The sequence below is a fragment of the Homo sapiens genome, chromosome 19, assembly GCF_000001405.40.
Source record: "Homo sapiens chromosome 19, GRCh38.p14 Primary Assembly".
NCBI lineage: Eukaryota > Metazoa > Chordata > Mammalia > Primates > Hominidae > Homo > Homo sapiens.
This window is the reverse complement of record NC_000019.10, coordinates 29,657,198-29,677,180: the sequence shown is the minus strand read 5'-3', so window position 1 is coordinate 29,677,180 and position 19,983 is coordinate 29,657,198. Positions and strand designations below refer to the sequence as shown.

Here is a 19,983-nt window from a genome sequence, read left to right as displayed (position 1 = left end):
AGACCTGAGTCCTGGGCTAAGGGATGAGAATCACCTACTCAGCCAGACCCCAGGGCGCTGCCTGCCATGACCTGGAGAGGACGACACTGCACTCAGTCAGCCTGGGGTCCTGTGCATGGACCCCCTTGGCAGGAAGCTGTAGAGGAGGCTGGTGGTGGCCGGGCTCAGCTGCACGTGGTCCCCTCTCCTATCTTAGTGAACGCTGCCTTTCAGGCTCTGAGGGTTTTCAGGCAGGGGAGTGTGCTGTGAGAAGAGGCCAGCGGTGGCAGCCAACACACCCTGCCCTGGCTTCAGTCCCAGGGTGCAGGGACAGGGCTGCCCGGGCTGGGTTTTGGAGAGGGCACTAGATCTGTCCAGGAAGTCACCCCCAGCTCCGTGACCTGTCTCACCCTGTGCCCTCTGCCCAGGCAGAACCAGCCTGAACCAGTTTGTGTGGTTCAGGGAGGCCAAGGGAGAGAAAGGGACTGTAAACAAATAGGTCCTTCCTGGAAGGCCAGTGGGCCTCCCACACTGGTCATTCTGCCAAGCATGGCAGGTCGAAGGCGCTTTGATACTGACCCCTTGGCCGGGTGTGGTGGCTCACGCTTGTAATCCCAGCACTTTGGGAGGCCAAGGCAGGCGGATCACGTGAGGTCAGGAGTTCCAGACCAGCCTGGCCAACATGGTGAAAACTCGTCTCTACTAAAAATACAAAAATTAGCCAGGTGTGGTGGCGGGCACCTGTAATCCCAGCTACTTGGCAGGGGTGAGGCAGGAGAATTGCTTGAACTCGGGAGGTGAAGGTTGCAGTGAGCCAAGATCGCATTACTGCACTCCAGCCTGGGCAACAGAGTGAGACTCTGTCTCAAAAACAAACAAACAAAAATACTGACCCTCCCGCCTCCCTCACAGGGTGCCCACAGGCCACCAGCAGGCCTTGTCACCTCAAGGGTGGTCTGTGGGTGGTGGTAGCGGCAGGCCCTGGGAGCTGGGCTTCGACCTGCCGAATCAGAATCTGCACTCGAACTGCACCCTCCAGGGTTCTGTCTGCACGTGAACCTCTGAGAACTGGCCCCAGGAGGATGGTGCTAGGCCAGGGAGAGGCCCTGTCAGTGGGGTTTCAGATGCTGTACTGCGTGGGCAGGGAACTCCCAGCCCCACGGTCACCACTTCTAGCTGACAGCAACCCCAGTCCATGCCCCAGTCCTGCCAAGGCTGAGGCGCTGGGAAAGACTAGTGCAGAAGCACTCGTGGGACACTGTTAAAGGATCCCCAGTTCCATGGCCAGCATGGGGCCAGGCGTTGGGAGGCTGACCTCGAGCCCCAGGCCCAATGCACACTCACTCTGAGAAAGGCTGGTGTACCTGGGGCCCAGTTTCCCTCTCCATAGCACCAGCCCCAGGGCCAGGCAGGACTGCACGGGGAAGCTCTCAGCCTGGGAGGCCCGGCAGAGCCACACAAATGGCTATTTGTTTCCTCAGTTCCATCCACTGAGATCGCCCACACCAAAGTGAATAGGGCAGCAGGCATCAGGCCACGGTCATGGCACCCGGACAGACCTGTGTCCTGGGGGAGCCCAGCCAAGGCACAGCATGAGCGTCTGTCTCCTTCAGGCAGCCAGCATACACAAGAACTCCCAGTGTGGGGGACAGTGGTAGATTTTTGCCACCTAGCACATTTTCAACCATGGACAGAGCCATGTCTGAAGCAAGGACACTCCTGGGTTTGTTTTGCAACCACCCATCAATAAACTTTCTTTTTTATTATTAAGTGGGGGCAGGGTTTCTGTTCTTGCAACTGAGTCCTAACAGAAAACAATGGTTTCGCTGACCACACGGAGAGCTGAGGACAGGACAAAAAGGCATGAGACAGCTGGACACCTGGAGAGAGGTGACACAGGACAGAGTCCTCACCCGGCTGCCCTGGGCCTCGGGGAGCTCAGGCTGCAGTCCCTGGGCCTGGTGGCACCCACAGCACGGCAGTCTCTGGCTGGGCTTCGGGGAGCCCACATGTCTGATCGGCAGGGCTTGGCTGGCCAGGCGGTGGGCACCAGCGTGGTGGGTGGGCAGTCCTGGGCTTCCAGGAGGCCTCCTGGGACTCAGGCTCTTCAGTGGGGTGTGCCTGTCAGGGTGCAGGTGGGTTCTGTGGCTACACTCCCATCCTGTCTTCCCTCTGTGTTCCCAAACCTGCTCTGGTCCCTAGATGTCTGGAGACCTGGGGTCGTCCAGCTCAGGAGGCCATCTGGAGCTGCCGCTGCAGCCTGCAGAGTGTAAGGTGGCGTTTGTTACCAAGACCTGTGGGTGTTCTGGGGCTTCCTGAAGGGAAAGGCATTACCTGCAGTGAAGCCATAAGGACACAGTGTCCAGCAAAAAGGCACTGGGAGTCCAGAAAGAGCCACTCCCCACCGCTGCACCTGCCACCATGGGATGGGGTCCCGGAGCCCTGGGCAGCTTCTGGAGCTGCCCTCTTGGGGGCCTGGGCAGTGGAGCTGGCTTGGGGACAGATGTTCTGCAGGCCGGGGGTCAGCTGTGGAAGGCAGACCAGGCCACCCCCGAGGCGTAGAACTCCACGCTGCTGGGCCAGTCGCCGTCCCTGCTGCCCTCCTTGTCCTCGTCGGAGTCATCGTCATCTCCACTGGACGCTCCGCAGATGGGCCGGGCCAGGTGGGCTGGCTGCCCTGGGGACCCCGCGCCCTGCTCCTCCGCCTCCTCCTGCCGCTGCTGGGCGGCCAGTTCGCGGTAGCAGAGGCTGCAGACGCGCACGGGCTTGGGGGACAGGCGCGGGAGCAGGAAGCGCTGGCGCGAGCACTCAGCGCAGACCACGAAGCCGCACTTGCGGCAGTGGTGGCGCCTCGTGAGGGCAGAGAAGCGCGTCTGCGTGCAGCGCATGCAGATGTCCGTGGCCTTGTCGGGGATCCAGGGTGCCGCGTGCTCCGTGCTGGGCGGGCGGCCCGTGGCCCTCAGTTGCCGCCGCACGCACTCCTCGATGTGGCTAATCCATTCCTGGCGCTCCGTAGCGGAGGCGGCCGACACCACAAAGGACTTCTTGGCCGTCTTGATCATCCAGCGGTTCTTGGCCTGCAGCGTCTCCGGCAACAGCTCCAGTGTGACCTCCTCCAGGGGGATGATGTGCTGGCTGCGGTACTTGCGCTTGTTGAGCACGATGCTGCCATACACCAGGATGTCGTTAAAGAGGAAGAAGATGCGCGGCTTGGCCTTCTTGCGGCACTCTTTGGTCAGCACGCCCTCGCCCAGCAGCACTCGGCCTGGCAGCGCCAGCGGCTGCCCCGAGGCCCCGAAGCAGCTCTCCACTGCCGCGATGCGCTGGCTGTTGATCTCCGTGTTGGCCAAGTGGTCCACCATCGTCTCCAGCTGGCGGCTGCAGGAGGAGACAGACAAGGAGTATGTCCAGGCTCAGGCATGGGGGTGTCAGAACCACGCTGCCCACCCCCAACTGACTAACCCACCATGCCAGGCAGCCCACTGACTACGCACAGTAACCCGCAGGCCTGCCCAGCACTGAGAAGCATCACCTCGGAAGCTGACCCTTAGACGGGAGTACAGGGAACTACGGGGAGGGAAGGGGGATTTCCCAGTAAAGGGGATGTGGAGGCCAGACAGGGATGGGAAGGCAGTGATAAAGTGTGCTACTTAGGCCAGGTGCAGCGGTTCATGCCTGTGGTTCCAGCGTTTTGGAAGGCTGAGGCAAGAGGAGGCTCGAGCCCAGGAGTTTGAGGCTACAGTGAGCTATGATCATGCCACTACACTCTAGCTAGGTGACTGAGTGGATTCTATCTCTTAAAAAAAAAAAGTGCTACTGAGCCGGCTACTACTGTGGGCAGCAGAGGGCAGAGGTTCAGCCCCGCTGGGGAGCCTTGAAAAACAGGGCGGAACAGGCCTCAACGGGACATCAGAACGGTCTGTGCCAGGAGACCTGGGTGTCTCTACCCCCAACCCAACCCTGACTCTGCCATCCACCAAACCAAGCTGTCACAGGCCCTGCAACCCACGCAACCACCCAGGAAGTGCAGCAGTCACCACCACCATCACAAGCACAGGCGCCGAGTGCTTCCTGTCAGCCAAGCGTGACTATCTCATTTAGTTCCCACCCAACCCCAGAAGGCAGAATCCCCACTTTACAGGAGGGGAACTGAGGCGATGCTAGGAGGCAGGGGCCCTGGAGCTCGCACTATGCTGCCGTCCCGAGTGGAGTGTGAGGCCACACAGGCCCCTCTGTTGGTGCCCTAAGCACTAAGCACTAACTCAGAGCTCATGCCGGGCGCCCCCTGCTTGGTCCACACACACACCAGCCCACCAGACTCACGACCTTGAAGACCCCATAAATGCCATAGATTCCCCATTCCAAGCCTCCAGTCTTGGCCTCTCCAAGCTCTAGGAGGGCTGTCAGCATAGATGTTCACCTGCTTGTCTAATAAGCTCCTCAAACTCAACACATCCAACAACAAACCTCCGCAGACCTGCACCTCTTCCTCTCCTTCAGTGACACCACCATTCATCCAGGAGTTCAAACCCCAGACCTAGGACACATCCTTGAATCTCCCCCTTCCTGTACCTCCAATATTCAAGCCATGAGTAAATCTCATCATCTTTACCTCTCAAATCTAGCCTGCCCATTTCTCAGCACATAACTCCGCCACCATATCGGTGGCAAGGTGCCATTGTGTCCTACCTGAGACAGGCTGTCCCAGGGTCAGCTCCTTCCTGCAACGGGTTCTCAGTTCCTTTTTGAAAGGGTTCTCCCTGACAACCCCAGCTCAGGCAGCCTCTTCCCACACCCAGGACAAGCATTGGTAATCCAAGGTCTGAGAGTCAAATCCGGCCCTCAGCCTGCTTTTGTTAAAGATTTATTGGGACACAGCCACATTCGTTCATTTATTATTGTCTCTGGTGGCTTCCACACTGCAATGGGAGAGTTGAGTGTTGGTGACAGGGACTACATGGTGACAAAGCCTAAAATATTCACCACCTGGCCCTTTGTAGAAAAGGTCTGCTGGCCACTTCTCTGGGATTCAATCGTTTTTCTTTGTGGGATTTAACAGGACCTGCTGTTTGCTTGTCTATTCATTGCTTGTGTGTTTTCTGCTTCCCTGCTCAGTTCTTAGCTCCATGAGAACAGGAGCTTCTTCTTGTTCATTGTGTCCACAATTCTTGGAGCCATGCCAAGCACATACTAGATGCTTCATAAGTAGCTTGGCACGGTTCCAAGCAGGTCCCAAGGCCCACCATGCATGACTCAGCTCTTACCTCTACAGAGGAAGAGGTGAGAGCTGGCCCCACCACCACCACGTGCACACATGCATTCCGGTACACACGGCACGCCTGGGGCTGAGCTGATCACACCCATAGTGTTTCTGGGTCACTGAGCTGCAGTTCTGAGCCTGGCCACCAGTAGAAAGCCAGAGTGGGGCCCCAGTGTGAGGGTGGATGCATTGCAGAACAGAAGATGCTGGGCCCTCGAGTCCCGTTCCACTTGCCCCTGCAGATCACAAGTGTCCTGAGAAGGGCTGCCCACACTACCTTACGTAAGAACTGCTATTTTTAGCTTGCTGATCTTGGCTGTATACTGCAAACCTAGGGGATTACCAGTGACAGAACTGACCTGTCCCACCATGACTGATCACCGAGTACCTGGCTGAGGGACAATCTGACAAAACCAGAACTGCATTCCACAAAGAGCAATGACTGCCCAGCAGAGACAACCAAAATGCCTACCAGCAGGGAAAAGGATAAAAACCCGGGGCTACTCACGCAATGAGAGATACAGATCAATGTGGTCTGACGGCAAACAACAAACGTGGAGTGGAAAAACACAGCCTGTAGAATGTTGTATGTAAAGTGACACCACTTATGCAGGAATTACATAACATTCTGAAAGTGTTCAAGAACTATATCTATGAATAAAAATAGGTAGGAGGAAGGCCGGACACAGTGCCTCACACCTGTAATTCCAGCTACTCGGGAGGCGGAGGCAGGAGAATCGCTTGAACCCAGGAAGCAGAGGTTGCAGTGAGCCAAGATGGCGCCATTGCACTCCAGCCTGTGTGACAGAGTGAGATTCCATCTCAAAAAAAAAAAAAGGAGGGGAAAAAAACAAAACAAAAAATAAATAACAAGTGTTGGTGAGGGTGTGGAGAAACTGGAAACTGTGCACTGCTGATGAGAATAGGAACTGGTGCAGCCCCTAAGGAAAACAGCATGGAAGTTCCTTAAAAAGTTAAAAATACTCACGCCTGTAATCCCAGCACTTTGGGAGGCCGAGGAGGGGGGATCATGAGGTCAGGAGATCTAGACCATCCTGGCCAACACGGTGAAACTCTGTCTCTTAAAATACAAAAAATTAGCCTGGTGTGGTGGCGAGCGCCTGTAGTCCCAGCTACTCGGGAGGCTGAGGCAGGAGAATGGCGTGAACCCAGCAGGCGGAGCTTGCAGTGAGCCGAGATCGCGCCACTGTGCTCCAGCCTGGGCGACAGAGTGAGACTCCGTCTCAAAAAAAAAAAAAGGTTAAAAACAGAACTACCATATGATCCAGCAATGCCACTTCTGGATATATATCCAGACTGAAAGCAGGGACTAAAATAAATATCTGCTTTCCCATGTTCATATCAGCATCATTCACAATAGCCAAGAGGTGGAAGCAACTCAAACGTCTGTCAATGGGAGAATGGATGAACAAAATGTGGAACATACATACCATGGAATACTATTCAGCCTCGAAAAGGAAGGTAATTCTGACGCACACTACAACACGAATGAGCCCTGAGGACATCATGCTAAGTAAAGCAGGCCCATCACAAAAGGACAAATACTGTAATAACTTATATGAGATATACATACTGATCAAATTCATAGAGACAGAAAATAGAATGGTGGTTGCCAGGGGCTGCCAGAAGGGGAATGCGGAGGTTGTCTGGGTATGGAGTTTCAGTTTTAAACGATTAAAAAGTTTTAGAGGCCAGGTGTGGTGGCTCATGCCTGTAATCCCAGCATTTTGGGAGGCCAAGGCGGGCAGATCACTTGAGGTCAGGAGTTCGAGACCAGCCTGGCCAATATGGTGAAACCCTGTCTCTACTAAAAATACAAAAATTAGCCAGGGATGGTGGTATGTACCTACAATCCCTGCTACTGAGGAGGCTGAGGCAGGAGAATCACTTGAACCTAGGAAGTAGAGATTGCAGTGAGCCAAGATCACACCACTGCACTCCAGCCTGGGCATCACAGTGAGTTCCGTCTCAGAAAAAAAAAGTTTTGGAGATCTGTTGCACAACAATGGGAATATACTTAACACTACTGAACTGTACACTTGAAAGTGGTTAGAATGGTAAAAATAAAAGATAGGAAGGAGAAAGTCAGGAGTAAGTAGCCTGGGGAGAGGACATAGATGTGACCAGGAATGGAGGGCTCAGATTGGATTCCACTTTCGTCTATAAGGTTTCATTTTTAAAAAAGTTTTTTTAAAAAAAGGCAGCAGCAAACACGATGAAATCCGAATATCTGCCAATTTCAAGAAATGGGAACACGTGTTGCTTCTTCTAATTTAAGGTCTTCAAAAGGAAAAGAATTACAGGCCAGTGTCTGGATTGGGTCCTGGGCTCCATGGGCTGGGGGCCGCTGAGCATGTCTCATGATGGGACGCCTGGCTGGGCCTGATAGGGTGACCACATGGCATCCAGGCCTGGGCACCTGCAGGGGATGTCAGGAGCCCCGAAGAAGCAAGGCCACGTGTGCCCCCAGCCCAGCTGTGTGCTGAGAAGTCAGGCCACTGGTGAAACGGGATGAAAACCCAAACCTGAGACTGCAGACCAAAGCCTCCACATTCAGTAGCTGAGGCAGGTGGGCTTTGTGCCCAGAGAGCAGGTAGCCCTCCCGCAACCCTGGGGGCTTGTTGAGCTCTGGAGACTGGGCCAGCCAAGTGGATGGCATGGAGGAAGGGAAGGAGCAGCACCAGGCAGAAGAGAGCTGCAGGCAGGGGTGCCCAATCCACCCTGGACCCGTCCAGCAGAGGGCAGAGTCCATGACGCTGTCTCTGCAGCCCTTGGAGGGGGTGCAGAACACTCCACATGGGACCCCTTTGCTGCTCTGCCCCCACCCATGACTCACAGACCCCCTCTAGGCTCTTAGGGCTAGTGTCCAGCTGCTGATGGTAAAATGTGGACCAGGAAGGGCGAGGAGGGGCATCTGGTGGCGATGAAAGGGGCTGGGCTGAGAGCTGACCCCACACACTGACTGGGGAAGCCAGGGGCTCACATGTGCCCTCCTTTGTGAACCTGCAGAGGGTCCCAGGTTGGGCGAGGGGCGGGGCAGACAACATCCTCCTGGGAGCTGCCCCGGCATGCTCACCTTCTCTACATGACCACAACTTCACATCCTGGTTTGACCTTGCCTGTAGGTTTTTCTTGGCAAATACAGCAGCCCTGAGTTAGATGGGGAATGCTTTTTTCTTTCTTTCTTTTTTTTTTTTTTCTGAGACATTGTCTTGCTTTGTTGCCCAGGCTGAAGTACAGTGGCACAATCAGGGCTAACTGCAGCCTCGAACTCCAGGGCTCAAGAAAGCCTCCCGCCTCAGCCTCCTGAGTAGCTGGGACCACAGGCATGCACCAACATGCCTGGCTAATTTTTAAATTTGTTTTAGAGGCGAGGGTTCACTCTGTTGCTTAGATAGGTCTTGAACTCCTGGCCTCAAGCAATCCTCCCTCCTCAGCCTCCCAAAGTGCTGGGATAGCAGGTATGAGCCACTGAGCCCAGCTGGGAATCCTTTTTTTTTTTTTAATTGTTCTCACTAGGGAAGTGAACCTCCCTTGCTTAGCACAGGGGAGAAAAAAGCTGAGCCCTGTCCTTACTCATTTGGGGCCGGCCTGCCTCGGGAAGATGTTGGTGACAGAGCTTCCTGGCAGCCTCTGGGCCCTGAGTGCCTGTATTGGCCCCAGTGTGGCCCCAGGGCTGCTGGTAGAGGGGTGACCCCAGCGCAGGCTCAGTAAGCCTGGGAGACCAGGCAACGAACAGACCTGCATCTTTCTTTGAGGGTTCAGAGGGGTGGGGGCTCTCAGGCTCAGCAATCCTGCTGCCTGCACAGGGGCTGGAGGTGCTCATGTGAGCACTGCGGCTTGGGAGCCACATCCTGAGAGCCCCCGTGTGGCTGCAGAAGCCATGAAGCCAGGTTCTGTATGTGGCAGCCCAGGTGTGATACGTGATCAACAGCAGGGGCTGGAGAGCTACACCAAATCTGGGCCACTGCCAGCTTTTCTAAATCCAGTTTTATTCAAACACAGCCATGTGGGACAGAGGCTGTATGGCTGGCAAAACCTAAACTATTTGCTACCAGCTCTTGAGAGAAAAGGTTAGCCAACCCCTGATCTACACCATGCCACATTGTAAAATGTATAATGCACACACTGCAGGGCACGCTGAACAGGCCACACAAGGTACTGTCCTGACGGGAGTCGTCCTGTCCTCTCTCCTACTCCGGACACAGCATTTTGGATAAATGAGAGATGCGTGGGGCCCCAAGATGGTAGCCCTGGAAAGTAGGAGCTGGGCAGCGGTGGGGGATGGGGTGGGGGCTGTAACTGCTCTGCCTCGGGTTACAGGTGGAGAACCTGCTCAGGGACGTGCAGGGCCAGGGTCACCAAGGGAATCAGAGTTCTGGGGGCAGCTCAGCCCTTTGGACTTTCCCTTGACTTCCAGATCGGGGCTCCTCCTTCCCTGCAGGGACCTGGGCCGCACGCAGACCCACCCTGCTTCCATGCCTGCCTGATTTCATTTTCCAAATATTTATGAGTCCCACTGTGTGCCAGACACTGTGCGAGGTTACAGCCGGGAGCTGGAGACCAGGCCCTTCAGGAATGCACACTTCTTGCCAGTGAGACTAGAAGTACATTCACAGGGTCTTTTCTGAGAGCCAGTGCTAAACACTGTGAAGAAAAAGACTGGTGCGCCCAGCAGGGCAGGGCCTGGGAGGACGGTGGAGGTCGAGGAAGGAAGGCCTTGGGAGGAAGTGAACTCACTCCAGCCTGAAGTCAGCTGTGCAAAGATCTAGGGGCAGAGCTCCGGTCCTGGGGAGCAGCTCAAGGTGGAATGGGTGAAGTCAGGCTGCGGAGGAAGGAGCGATGGGGCAAGGAGGACAGATGAGGTTGCAGTGCCGGCAGGAGACATCCTGCAGGCTCCCAGGCCAGCGTGAGGATGTGAGGTTTTCTCCATGTGCATTGAGACTGCAGCATCAGGCGCCAAGCCTCCTCTCCCTCCAGAGGGGCCGCCCCTGGGCTCTGTCCAGCCCTGTGATTCCTGGAAGGCCCTCCTCCGGGAAGAGACCGGTAATGAAAAACAAAGCAAAACAAAACTGGAAGTGCCGCCGACTGAGCACTTAGAGCTCACCAGGCACAAAGTTAAGCATATTACGTTCATTATTTCACTTAATCCTCACAAAAGCCCCCTTGGGGAAGGTACTTCCACCACATCAAAGTCACTGCCCAAGGTCCCTGCTGAGTGATCAGGAAGCTCGGCTCCAAAATAACCATGAGCTGTGGAAAGCTGCACTCAACCAGAGACCAAATCAGAACTCCAGAAGTCAGAGTCCAGCGGGTGTTGCCTGCGCTCCAAATGCCTGATGCCCACCCCATCCCGAGCAGGTCCGTCAGCTTGGCTGGGCTGTCCCACCCTCCAGGCCACACTGGCCAATCCCCCTTCCTTCCTCGGGGTGGGCTGGGTTGGGCAGGTCCCCTAGTTCACCCAGGGCTGCCTGGCCTGTGTTTTGGCAGCCCGGAGGGCTGACGTGTGCAGGGACGCAGGCCGAAGTCAGAGAGTCATCTCAGCTCACAACAGACTCCAGTGGGAACGACGCTGTGCAGAGGGACGATCCCAGCGCATTAGGGGACTACCTCCCCACCTCCTTGGCCTCTGACCCTCTCTGGCCAGGAGATACCAGAGGTGTTCAAATTCCAAAGGAGTGCTCCCCTTGGGCTGCAGAGATCAAGTTTCAGCGTGGCTCGGAACCTCTCTGCTTTCCCACCTGCAAAGAGGCTGACCACACCTCTGCCCTACACGGCCCGCCAGGTGTTGGGGAAACGAGAAAGGAGGGAGATTCCAGGCCGCCTCTCTCTGCGGGCCTGCTCAATAGTTTCCTCTCTGAGATGGGAGCAGTGCCCGACCCTGTTTCCCTTGGCAGCTCCCACCAAGAATCACAAACTCAACTGCTCCAGAGGAACTGGGACCCCAGCGCCCCCCGCCGCGCCCCTGCCCAGGGGGACAGTGGTCCCATCCAGGCCTCCAGACTGCAGACTGGGGCTGAGAAGAGAGGTCCCGGCGGCCACACGAGGCCAGGATCCCGGAAACACCACCAGCGACCGGGTGCGCTGAGACCCCTGCAGTCCCGGGTGGCCCGCGACCCCCTTACCTCCACCAGCTTACATCTGCGCGTTTCCCCGGGGATTCCGCCTCGGACGCTCTGACCCCTGACCGCTCTCCCCAGGCTCCCTGCAGGTTCACCCCGCAAGCCGCCCAGGAGCGCCCTTCCCAGGCCTCTTCTTGGGCTGGAGTCAGCGGCACTGCGCCCCGCCGGCCCAGGAGCCGCCAAGACCGCGCGGCGGGAGAGAGCTCGCTTGTCCGGGGGTGGTGATGGGAGACTCGCCTCATGCGCCTGCCCCGCGACCCGCAGCCCGGCCGGGGGACGGTGGGGGGACTCACCTTCTGCGCCGGCCCCGCGCCCAGCCCTCGAGTCCACACCGCAGTAGCCCGGGTCCCCGCCCGCTCCGCCCGGGTCCCGGCCAGCTCCGCCGGACACGCCCCCGCGGTGGCTCGGCCAATCGGAGCCCGGGAAGCGGGAGGGGCGGGGCTTGGGCGCGGCGCTCGGAGGGCGCCCGAGCTTGTGCGCGCTGCAGGTCCGGGGCTGGGCGGGACTGTCGCCCGTGTTTGACCCCCTGGCCCCGCCCGGCTTCCCTTTCCGCTCGCCGCTGCCCCACGCGGAGCGCGACTGCCGTCACCCGGTGGGACTGCGACCCTGGCCTTGGGCAGGGGTGGGGTGGGGGCGCCCGCGACTGCGAGACCTGCGGGACTTGGCGGGGAAAGGGGCAGTGGGAGGCTTGTGCCTTCTGGTGCCTCCGGCGGGCCTCACAGCACAGTCACCCTCAGCGGTCAATAATCGTAATATGAAAATGCAGCAGCACTTTATAACCTTTTTTTTTTTTTGAGACGGTGTCTCCCTCTGTCGCCCAGGCTGGAGTGCAATGGCGCGGTCACGGCTCACTGCAGCCTGCACAGAAATCATCCTGACCCCAGGAGAATTAGCCCACCAGGACCGGCTAGTTTTTGTATTTTTGTACAGACGGAGGTCTCACTATGTTGCCCAGGCTGGTCTCGAACCCCTTAGCTCAAGCCATCCTCTCGCCTTGACCTCCTAAAGTGCTGGGATTTCAGTAGTGAGCCACCGCACCTGGCCTATTTTAAGCTTTTTATAGTGGAAAATTTCAAACTGAAGGAAAGAGAATAGTCCAGGGGACCCTGGTGCCCGTCACCCAGGTCCAACACTAGCAGCAAGTTATGTCACCCCTGACTCAACCGCACCTGAGCCTCCTGTGCGGCTCAGAAGGAAATTCCCAGGCCTCAGTGCCCGGAGGCCTTCCTGGCCCTCCCTGGCCTCCTCCCCACAGGTCCTCTCAAATGGGCTTCTTCCTGTTCCTTAAAGCCTCAGGCCTTTGCTTCTACCTCCATCAGACCTCAAACTGTCACCTCCTCAGGGAGGCTGCCCTGGCCACCCAAAGCGGTTCCCTGTCTCCACCCCATCTCCCTCCACAGTCACCCGTGTTTGTAATTTTGCAAAGCATCTCCCAACCCAGAGTCCTCTCCTGAGGCCGCTCGTGGGATTCAGGGCTGCCTACCAGGCTGTGGCTTCTGTGGAATGCTCATAAACAAGTCATGCTGGTGGCTTGCCTCCCACCCAGGCTGTGAGCCCCACGGGCTAGACAGTAATTTCTTCTCGTGTTCAGACAGGACTTTCTTCTGGTTCACCCCTGCATACCGAGTGCTGAGAACGGGCAGCGCATAGGAGGAACGCAGTCCCTACCTGTCACATAGATGCAGGTTGTCTTGCCAAATAGAACTCCACCTGGGCACCCTGAGAGGGGTGGCTCAGGCCGGGGCAGGCCTGCTGGGCCAGGACCAGGTGAGAGGGGAGCAGCGGGGGGAGGGCTGATGGGCTGTAGGGCTGTGGGGCTGGAGCTAGAAGAGGTGCCTGCTCTCTTGGCAGGGGGCTATGGGCGAGGCTGTGAGGTGGGCCCAGTGCTGGAGACGGTCCTCTCCCAGCTGAGAAGGGAAGGGAAAGGGGGTGACGGAGGGGGAGGGAGAGGGGACAGGCAAGTGAGAGGGCCACCAGCTGTGGCCTTGGGGAGCCCCCTCCCCACTACCACTTCATGGCGCCCACCCACTACCGTTGCCCTCATCAGCAAGGACAGCTTTTATGAGCATTCAACAGAAGTCACCGCCTGGTAAGTAACCCTGAACCCCACAAGACCCGAATAATGTCTGTTTGCTTTCAAAGTGTTTAAACATTTTTAAAATGCATTGCTGTGAACATTTCATATGGGGAGAGTTCACATAAAAATCAGGATCTTCAGCTTCTCTTAAATCAGAAGATTTGAGAATGCGGGTCCTCTTTAGAGGGGCCTTGTGTTCTCCCCTCCACTATGGTCCCCACACTCCCTCTGGTTTCCCCCTTGGGGCACTTTACCCCCTTTTGCACCTCCAGATGAATATACGTTTGGGTTTACAAGTCCTGAAGGGGCAGCCAGGCCTCTATACCACAGAGAGCAGAAAACACAAGGTCTGAGATCCCACAGGCAGAGTAATAACCAGGAGGGTCAGTGGGGCCATTGGGATGCTGGGAAACACCATCTCCTGTGTACACACTGCTTGTCACCAGCGGGTGGAGGGGGACTTCAAGCTGAGCCTTCAAGGCTGCGATCCATGACTGCTCAGTGCCAGCTCCGCCACCTCCCTGGCAAGGAGCTGCTTCTCATGGAGGGTAGGCCCTGGCTGGGGTGGAGGTGGCTGTGAGACTTGGAAGGGAGCCAGTCCCCTGGGAAGGCAGGGCTGTCTCTTTATAACAGTGTCCTGGCATCTAACACCTTGTCCGTACAGAGGAGGCCTCGGGAGAAGGAAGCCTTTTCATGACTGGGAAACTAGAGGGAGGATGTTCCTCCTAGCCTTGTCCTGCTGGTGGTCCAGGGCCCACTTGGACCTCAGTCTCCTCTTCTGTCCTTCCTTCCAACTATGGATCTGAATGGCGCTCCAAGAAACGCCCTGGAGGCAGCACGCACTGGTCTCCCAGCTGTCCATCCACTTCCCAGCGGGGCTGGCTGTGCGTGGGGACAGCTGGGTGGAGGGTGGAGGGCCTCGCTCCTCCAAATAAGAGAGGAAAAACTCGTGACTCAGGGGCAGGCAGAAGTTGAGTCAGCCAAGCCACATAGCTGTGGAAAGAATGAGGTTTCTCCGAGGCGTTTGCTACTTCTCAGGAAAGAAGCCCTTTTGGAGGAAAAGCTGGCTTCCAGACTGCGGGAACCCGGGTTTCAGAAAAGCAGTGGGGCTCGGCATTTTCAGGTTAGGGATTCTGGCAACCACCTCTGTGCTCAATGCCAGGAATTTTTTTTGGATCGTTTATTAAGTTCTGTCTACAGGCCAAGCACTGTGTGCTAAACATTTTATGTTATCTTATCTCTTCCCACACTAAAGCTGTCATTCCCAGCTTTCAGTATAAGAAACTGAAATAGGCACTGAAGTATTTAAGGATGAACACAAACATTCCAGCAAGAGAGAGAGAAAACAAAGGAGGCAGAATATTAGCAATTGGTAAATTGGGGTCAGGAGTCTCCAATCTTTTTCTGTAAAGGGCCAAATGTTAAGTACTTTGGGCTTTGAGAGCCAGGATCTCTACGGCAACTATTGAACTTCACTGTTGCAAAGCAAAAGCAGCCACAAACAATACTTAAACAAGAGAGTTAACGTCATGGACACTGATATTTGAATTTCATGTAATTTTCGTGTGTTATGAAAAATTCTTTAAAAATTTTTTTCCAACCATTTGAAAAAATTAAAAACCATTCTTAGCTCATACAAAACCAGGATGTGGGCTGAAGTTTACCAGTCCCTGATCTCTGGCTATTCGTTGAACTTTTCTTATAACTATTCTATTGATTTGAAAGTTTCCAAAACAAAAAATTGGGAAAACAAATTAAAGAAAAACAAAGGAAACAGAGGTCCTACTGTTTAGCTTGGGTAGATCCTCAAACTGACCCTAAATTTGTCTGATTCCCAAACTACTACATGCTGTGTTCTTTTTAAAACATTATTTTTATTTTATTTCAATTTATTTATTTATTAGAGATGAGGTCTTGCTCTGTCACTCAGGCTGGAGTGCAGTGGCACAATCATGGCTCACTGCAGCTTCTACCTCCTGGGCTCAAGCGATCCTCTTGCCTCAGCCTCCTGAGTAACTGGGACTATGCGCCCATGCAACTTCGCCCAGCTAACTTTTTAAATTTTGGGTAGAGATGTAGGGGAGGCGGGGGGGGTCTCTCTATGTTGCTCAGGCTGGTCTTGAACACCTGACCTTGTGATCCTCCCAGCTTTACCTCCTAAAGTGCTGGAACTAAAGGCACAACCCATCACACCTAGCTAATTTAAAAAATCTTTTGTAGAGACCAGGTCTCATTATGTTGGCCAGGCTGGTCTCGAACACCTGGGTTCAAGTGATCCTCCTGTCTCAGTCTCCCAAAGTGCTGGGACTACAGGTGTGAGCCACCGCACTTGGCCTAAATGCTGCTTTCTTTATAGATACCGTAACATACTAAAGACACTGAGTCTCAAAGCCATAAAATGTGGGGCATTTTGAAAAGATTTTTACTGAAATGGTTAAGAAGATTAGTTTTAAAGGAGGAAACCCAGAGATGTTTGGCAAACTGTGACTTCAAAAGAGAATCTTGAGGGCGGGCTTGCTGCAGGGGCCTTGGATTTGAAGCTGAGATAATCTCGACTCTACGGAACCATGAGATGACACTGACGCCCCCGCACCCACTTGCCCTGCCCGTCTGCCTGTTTATTCTTTTCTCTCTCTCTCTGTGTGTGTGTATGTGCGTGTGTGTGTGTGTGTGTGTGTATGCCCTGCATTTATCATTCCAGCTGTCTGCACATCCACTTCATGTTCACGGGCATTATTGTTTTTGTTTCCCAGCATGGATTTTCCCCTTGAGGCTCCAACCAGGCCAAAGGGGGAAAGGAGAAATAAAAGAAAACAGAAGCAGGCAGGGCGTGGTGGCTCACACCTGGAATCCCAGCACTATGGGAGGTTGAGGCGGGTGGATCACTTCAGCCCAGGGGTTCGAGACCAGCTTGGGCAACATAGTGAAACCCCATCTCTACAAAAATATCAAAAATTAGCTGGGCATGGTGGTGCGTGTTTGTAGTCCCAGCTACTCAGGAGGCTGAGGAGGGAGGATCGCTTGAGCCTGGGAGTTTGAGGCTACAGTGAGCCAAGATCACACCACTGCATTCCAGCCTGGGCAACAGAGCAAGACCTTGTCTCTAAAAATAAATAAATAAAACAGAAGCAATGCTTTTTGAAAAATGCCTTCGAGATGTGAAATAAATGTTGCAGGCCAATATAACCTGAGAGTATTAGACCCACCTAATGTCAATGGAGTACATCCAAGAGGCTTTTGACAGCACTGGTTTGACAAAGTTCTGTCTGGGTCATTCATTCATTCATTCAGCAATTACTGGATCCCTCTTTGTGCCACTACCCAGGCAGTGGATCCAGGGATGAATGTGGCACTGCCTCTACCCTTGGGGAGCTCACAGTCCATTGGGGCAAACCCATGAACACGTCATATTTATCCATGAGGAGAGAAGGCTGCCCACCCCGAGTAGAGGGCAGGGGTCTGTGCAGGAGAAGCTGTCTTGGTTGGATGACACATCTTGGAGAACCATTTGGCATTTCAGTGTCAGCCTTTGGGGTCTGGCTGGCAAATACCTCCTCACTTGCTGCATTTAAGGCAAGAACAGAAATTCCAGGGGCCAGGAACAAGCAAGCCAGAGAGAGAAAAAGTCCAGCACATGGCGTGAGAGAGGGCCAGGGAGGCTCTCTGGTTGTGGAATGGGGCTGGGAAAGGCTTCAAAGAACAGGGATGGGTGATATTCCATGTTACTTTTTATTCTTTTTAAAATTTATTTTATTGAGACAGGGACTCGCTTGGTTGCTCAGGCTGGCTTACAGTGGTGCAATCATAGCTCACTGCAGTCTTGAACTTCTGGGCTCAAGTAATCCTCCTGCCTCAGCCTCTTGAGTAGTTGGGACTTCAGGTGCACGCCACTACTCCCAGCTAATTTTTAAATTTTTTATTGAGATACAGGTCTTGCTATGTTGCCTAGGCTGGTCTCAAACTCCTGGTCTCAAGTGATCCTCCTGCCTTGGCCTCCCAAAGTGCTGGGATTACAGACATGAGCCACTGCACCCGGACAGGTGATATTCCATTTTTAATTACTTACTGAACTGCCCAGGGAATGCCCTACATTTTGGCCATTACCACCCAAGCCTTCATAAATCCATTTTCTTGCTGGTGAGAGCATAAATTTTTACAACCAACCTTCATGGGGGGCAATGTGGCAACATCGATCAAATTTTAAAATGTACAGACTTGGCCGGACACAGTGGCTCACACCTGTAATTCCAGCACTTCAGAAGGCTGAGGCAGGCGGGTCACCTGAGGTCAGGAGTTCGAGACCAGCCTGGCCAACATGCGAAATCCCGTCTACTAAAAATACAAAAATTAGCTGGGCAAGAGCCGGGTGCGGTGGCTCATGCCTGTAATCCCAGCACTTTGGGAGACCGAGGCGGGCAGATCATGAGGTCAAGAGTTCGAGACCAGCCTGGCCAACATGGTGAAACCCTGTCTCTACTAAGAATACAAAAATTAGCCAGGCGTGATGGTGCATGCCTGTAATCCCAGTTGCTTGGGAGGCTAAGGCAGGGGAATTGCTTGACCCCAGGAGGCGGAGGTTGCAGTGAGCTGAGATCGCACCACTGCACTCCAGCCTGGGCAACAGAGCAAGACTACGTCTTAAAAAGAAAAAAAAATTAGGTGGGCATGGTGGCGGGTGCCTGTAGTCCCAGCTACTTGGGAGGCCGAGGCAGAAGAATTGCTTGAACTCAGGAGATGGAGGTTGCGGTGAGCCAAGATCATGCCACTGCACTCCACCCTGGGTGACAGAGTAAGACTCTGTCAAAAAGAAAAAAAAAAAGCACAGGCTCTTTTTTCTCCAGCTGGTCCACTTCCAGAATTTATCCTTAAATACTCCTGTCCTTGTGCAAAAGGATATAAACACTCATTCATTTATTGTGGCATTGCTTACAGTAGGGAAATGCAGGGAGCAGCCCTAATATCCACTGACAGGGGCCGGCCAAAGAAATTACGAGTCATTCATACAATGGAATGGCTTCCCACAGTTTCAGGAAATAAGGCAGGTCTTCATGTCCTGAAATGCAAGGATTTCTAGGATATACTGAGTAAAAAAAAGTAAGGTATACAAGTGGACGCATAGTGTGAGTGTGTGAGAGTGTGTGTGTGTGTGTGTGTGTGTATTGCTGGCAGAATTCACAATAAACTGGTCATGGGTTTGCCTCTGGAAGGGAAAATGGGTGGGAGGGAGATTCCCATTTACTGTATACACTTGTGGTATTTTTGTTTGTTTTGTTGCTGTTGTTTTGTTATGTGTGTGTGTGTGTGTGTGTGTGTGTGTGTGGTTTTGTTTTTGTTTTTGTTTTTGTTTTTTGAGACTGAGTCTTGCTCTGTTGCCTTGGTTGGAGTGCAGTGGCACGATCATGGCTCACTGCAACCTCTACCTCCTGGGCCCAAGCAATCCTCCCACCTCAGCCCCCCAAGTAGCTGGGATTACAGGTGCACACCACCACACCTGGCTAATTTTTCTATTTTAGTAGATTCAGAGTTTCACCATGTTGTCCAGGCTGGTCTGGAACTCTTGGGCTCAAGCTATCTGCCCGCCTCGGCCTCCCAAAGTGCTGGGATTGCATGTGTGAGCCACCATGCCTGGCACCCTTGTGGTATTCACGCCCTGGTATAGTTCTCTTCCACAGGGAATAGGATTTACCTCTGTAACCAACAGGATACTGTGGAAATGACAGAGCGTGGCTTCCAGGTCTAGGTCATAAAGAACATTGTGGCCTCTGCCTTGCTTCCTAGGATCACTCACTCCAGGGGAAGCTGGCTGCTGAGTCATGAAGAGGTCCATGCAGCCCTCCGGAGAAGCCCATGGGAGACACTGAGGCCTCCAGCCAACAGCGACCAACCCCTTGCTAGGGGTGAGGAAGACTCTTGGAAGACTGTTCAGCCCCAGAAAGCCTTGAGGTGATCATGGCTTAGACCAGCATCTTAGCTGCAACCTCATGGGAGACCTAGAGGCAGAGCCATCCAGCTGGGCCATTCCCTGGCTCCTGCCCTGCAGAAGCCCTGTGATACCGTATAAGTATGTATTGTTTCAAGCCACCAACTAGTTTTTTTTTCTTTTTAAAGACAGGGTATTGCTCTGTCACCCAGGATGGACTGTAGTGGTGCAATCATGGCTCATGTGCAGCCTCAAACTCTTGGGCTCAAGTGATCCTCCCACCTCAGCCTCCTGAGTAGCTGGGATGACAGGTGCATGCCCCCACACCTGGCTGGTTTTACTTTTTGTAGAGACAGTGTCTTAGCGTCTTACTATGTTGCCCAGGCTTCAAGACACTACATTTTGAGGTAATTTGTTAGGCAGCAACCGATAACTCATACATCGTGTTCTGTCTTTTGAATTTTGTACCTTTTGCATTTGTGCATCCTAACAGTGGTGGTGGTGATGATGATGATGATAACAATAACCTAATACATACCATCACCTTGTGTGATTGATAATTTGGGAATATTAAAACTGTGTAGACATGGGCTGGAGAGATGGG

At 54.1% G+C, this 19,983-nt stretch overlaps 1 protein-coding gene and 1 long non-coding RNA gene across 4 annotated transcripts in view, besides 8 other annotated features; one reads left to right on the top strand and one right to left on the bottom strand.

Annotated features, from left to right (window-relative positions):
* Nucleotides 1-1,703: 1,703 nt before the first annotated feature.
* On the bottom strand, nucleotides 1,704-11,720 carry PLEKHF1 (pleckstrin homology and FYVE domain containing 1). 3 transcript variants are annotated; one of them, XM_005259256.4, is made up of 2 exons: nucleotides 11,386-11,720; nucleotides 1,704-3,357 (listed from the first exon to the last, which is right to left on the bottom strand). In XM_005259256.4, the coding sequence occupies exons 1-2, from the start codon at nucleotides 11,622-11,624 to the stop codon at nucleotides 2,502-2,504; spliced, it is 1,095 nt and encodes a 364-aa protein (XP_005259313.1). In that variant the 5' UTR covers nucleotides 11,625-11,720; the 3' UTR covers nucleotides 1,704-2,501. The 3 variants fall into 3 exon arrangements, with proteins under 3 accessions (XP_005259313.1, NP_077286.3, XP_011525611.1); NM_024310.5 differs by having other exon boundaries at nucleotides 11,676-11,720; XM_011527309.4 differs by lacking the exon at nucleotides 11,386-11,720 and adding an exon at nucleotides 10,001-11,362.
* Nucleotides 5,426-5,655: an enhancer, noted in NCBI's record as "active region_14413". NCBI's record gives its function as "activates an Ori minimal core promoter by ATAC-STARR-seq in GM12878 lymphoblastoid cells {active_cell/tissue: GM12878}" and the evidence as "EXISTENCE:reporter gene assay evidence [ECO:0000049][PMID:35858748]".
* Nucleotides 8,157-8,466: an enhancer, noted in NCBI's record as "active region_14412". NCBI's record gives its function as "activates an Ori minimal core promoter by ATAC-STARR-seq in GM12878 lymphoblastoid cells {active_cell/tissue: GM12878}" and the evidence as "EXISTENCE:reporter gene assay evidence [ECO:0000049][PMID:35858748]".
* Nucleotides 10,613-10,662: an enhancer, noted in NCBI's record as "active region_14411". NCBI's record gives its function as "activates an Ori minimal core promoter by ATAC-STARR-seq in GM12878 lymphoblastoid cells {active_cell/tissue: GM12878}" and the evidence as "EXISTENCE:reporter gene assay evidence [ECO:0000049][PMID:35858748]".
* Nucleotides 10,854-11,407: an enhancer, noted in NCBI's record as "H3K27ac-H3K4me1 hESC enhancer chr19:30156681-30157234 (GRCh37/hg19 assembly coordinates)". NCBI's record gives its function as "activates a minimal SCP1, AML or CMV promoter by ChIP-STARR-seq in naive H9 embryonic stem cells {active_cell/tissue: H9 hESC(naive)}" and the evidence as "EXISTENCE:reporter gene assay evidence [ECO:0000049][PMID:30033119]".
* Nucleotides 11,283-11,402: an enhancer, noted in NCBI's record as "active region_14410". NCBI's record gives its function as "activates an Ori minimal core promoter by ATAC-STARR-seq in GM12878 lymphoblastoid cells {active_cell/tissue: GM12878}" and the evidence as "EXISTENCE:reporter gene assay evidence [ECO:0000049][PMID:35858748]".
* Nucleotides 11,408-11,961: an enhancer, noted in NCBI's record as "H3K27ac hESC enhancer chr19:30156127-30156680 (GRCh37/hg19 assembly coordinates)". NCBI's record gives its function as "activates a minimal SCP1, AML or CMV promoter by ChIP-STARR-seq in naive H9 embryonic stem cells {active_cell/tissue: H9 hESC(naive)}" and the evidence as "EXISTENCE:reporter gene assay evidence [ECO:0000049][PMID:30033119]".
* Nucleotides 11,408-12,152: a biological region, named in NCBI's record as "H3K27ac hESC enhancer GRCh37_chr19:30156127-30156680".
* Nucleotides 11,483-12,152: a silencer, noted in NCBI's record as "silent region_10464". NCBI's record gives its function as "represses an Ori minimal core promoter by ATAC-STARR-seq in GM12878 lymphoblastoid cells {active_cell/tissue: GM12878}" and the evidence as "EXISTENCE:reporter gene assay evidence [ECO:0000049][PMID:35858748]".
* LOC105372353 (uncharacterized) overlaps nucleotides 11,926-19,983 on the top strand; it is a 35,060-nt gene continuing 27,002 nt past the window's right edge. Inside the window, exons 1-3 of the long non-coding RNA XR_935896.3 lie at nucleotides 11,926-11,974; nucleotides 12,974-13,149; nucleotides 19,238-19,520. This is a non-coding gene — a long non-coding RNA (uncharacterized LOC105372353). The remainder of the gene's footprint in view (nucleotides 11,975-12,973; nucleotides 13,150-19,237; nucleotides 19,521-19,983) is intronic.

Bases quoted from the DNA above. Each gene is read 5' to 3' on its own strand.
- PLEKHF1 (XM_005259256.4), bottom strand. From the start codon at position 11,624: ATGAGGCGAGTCTCCCATCACCACCCCCGGACAAGCGAGCTCTCTCCC. The intron at 3,358-11,385 runs GTAAGGGGGTCG...CTCCTCCTGCAG, and splicing joins GCAGATGTAAGCTGGTGGAG to CCGCCAGCTGGAGACGATGG.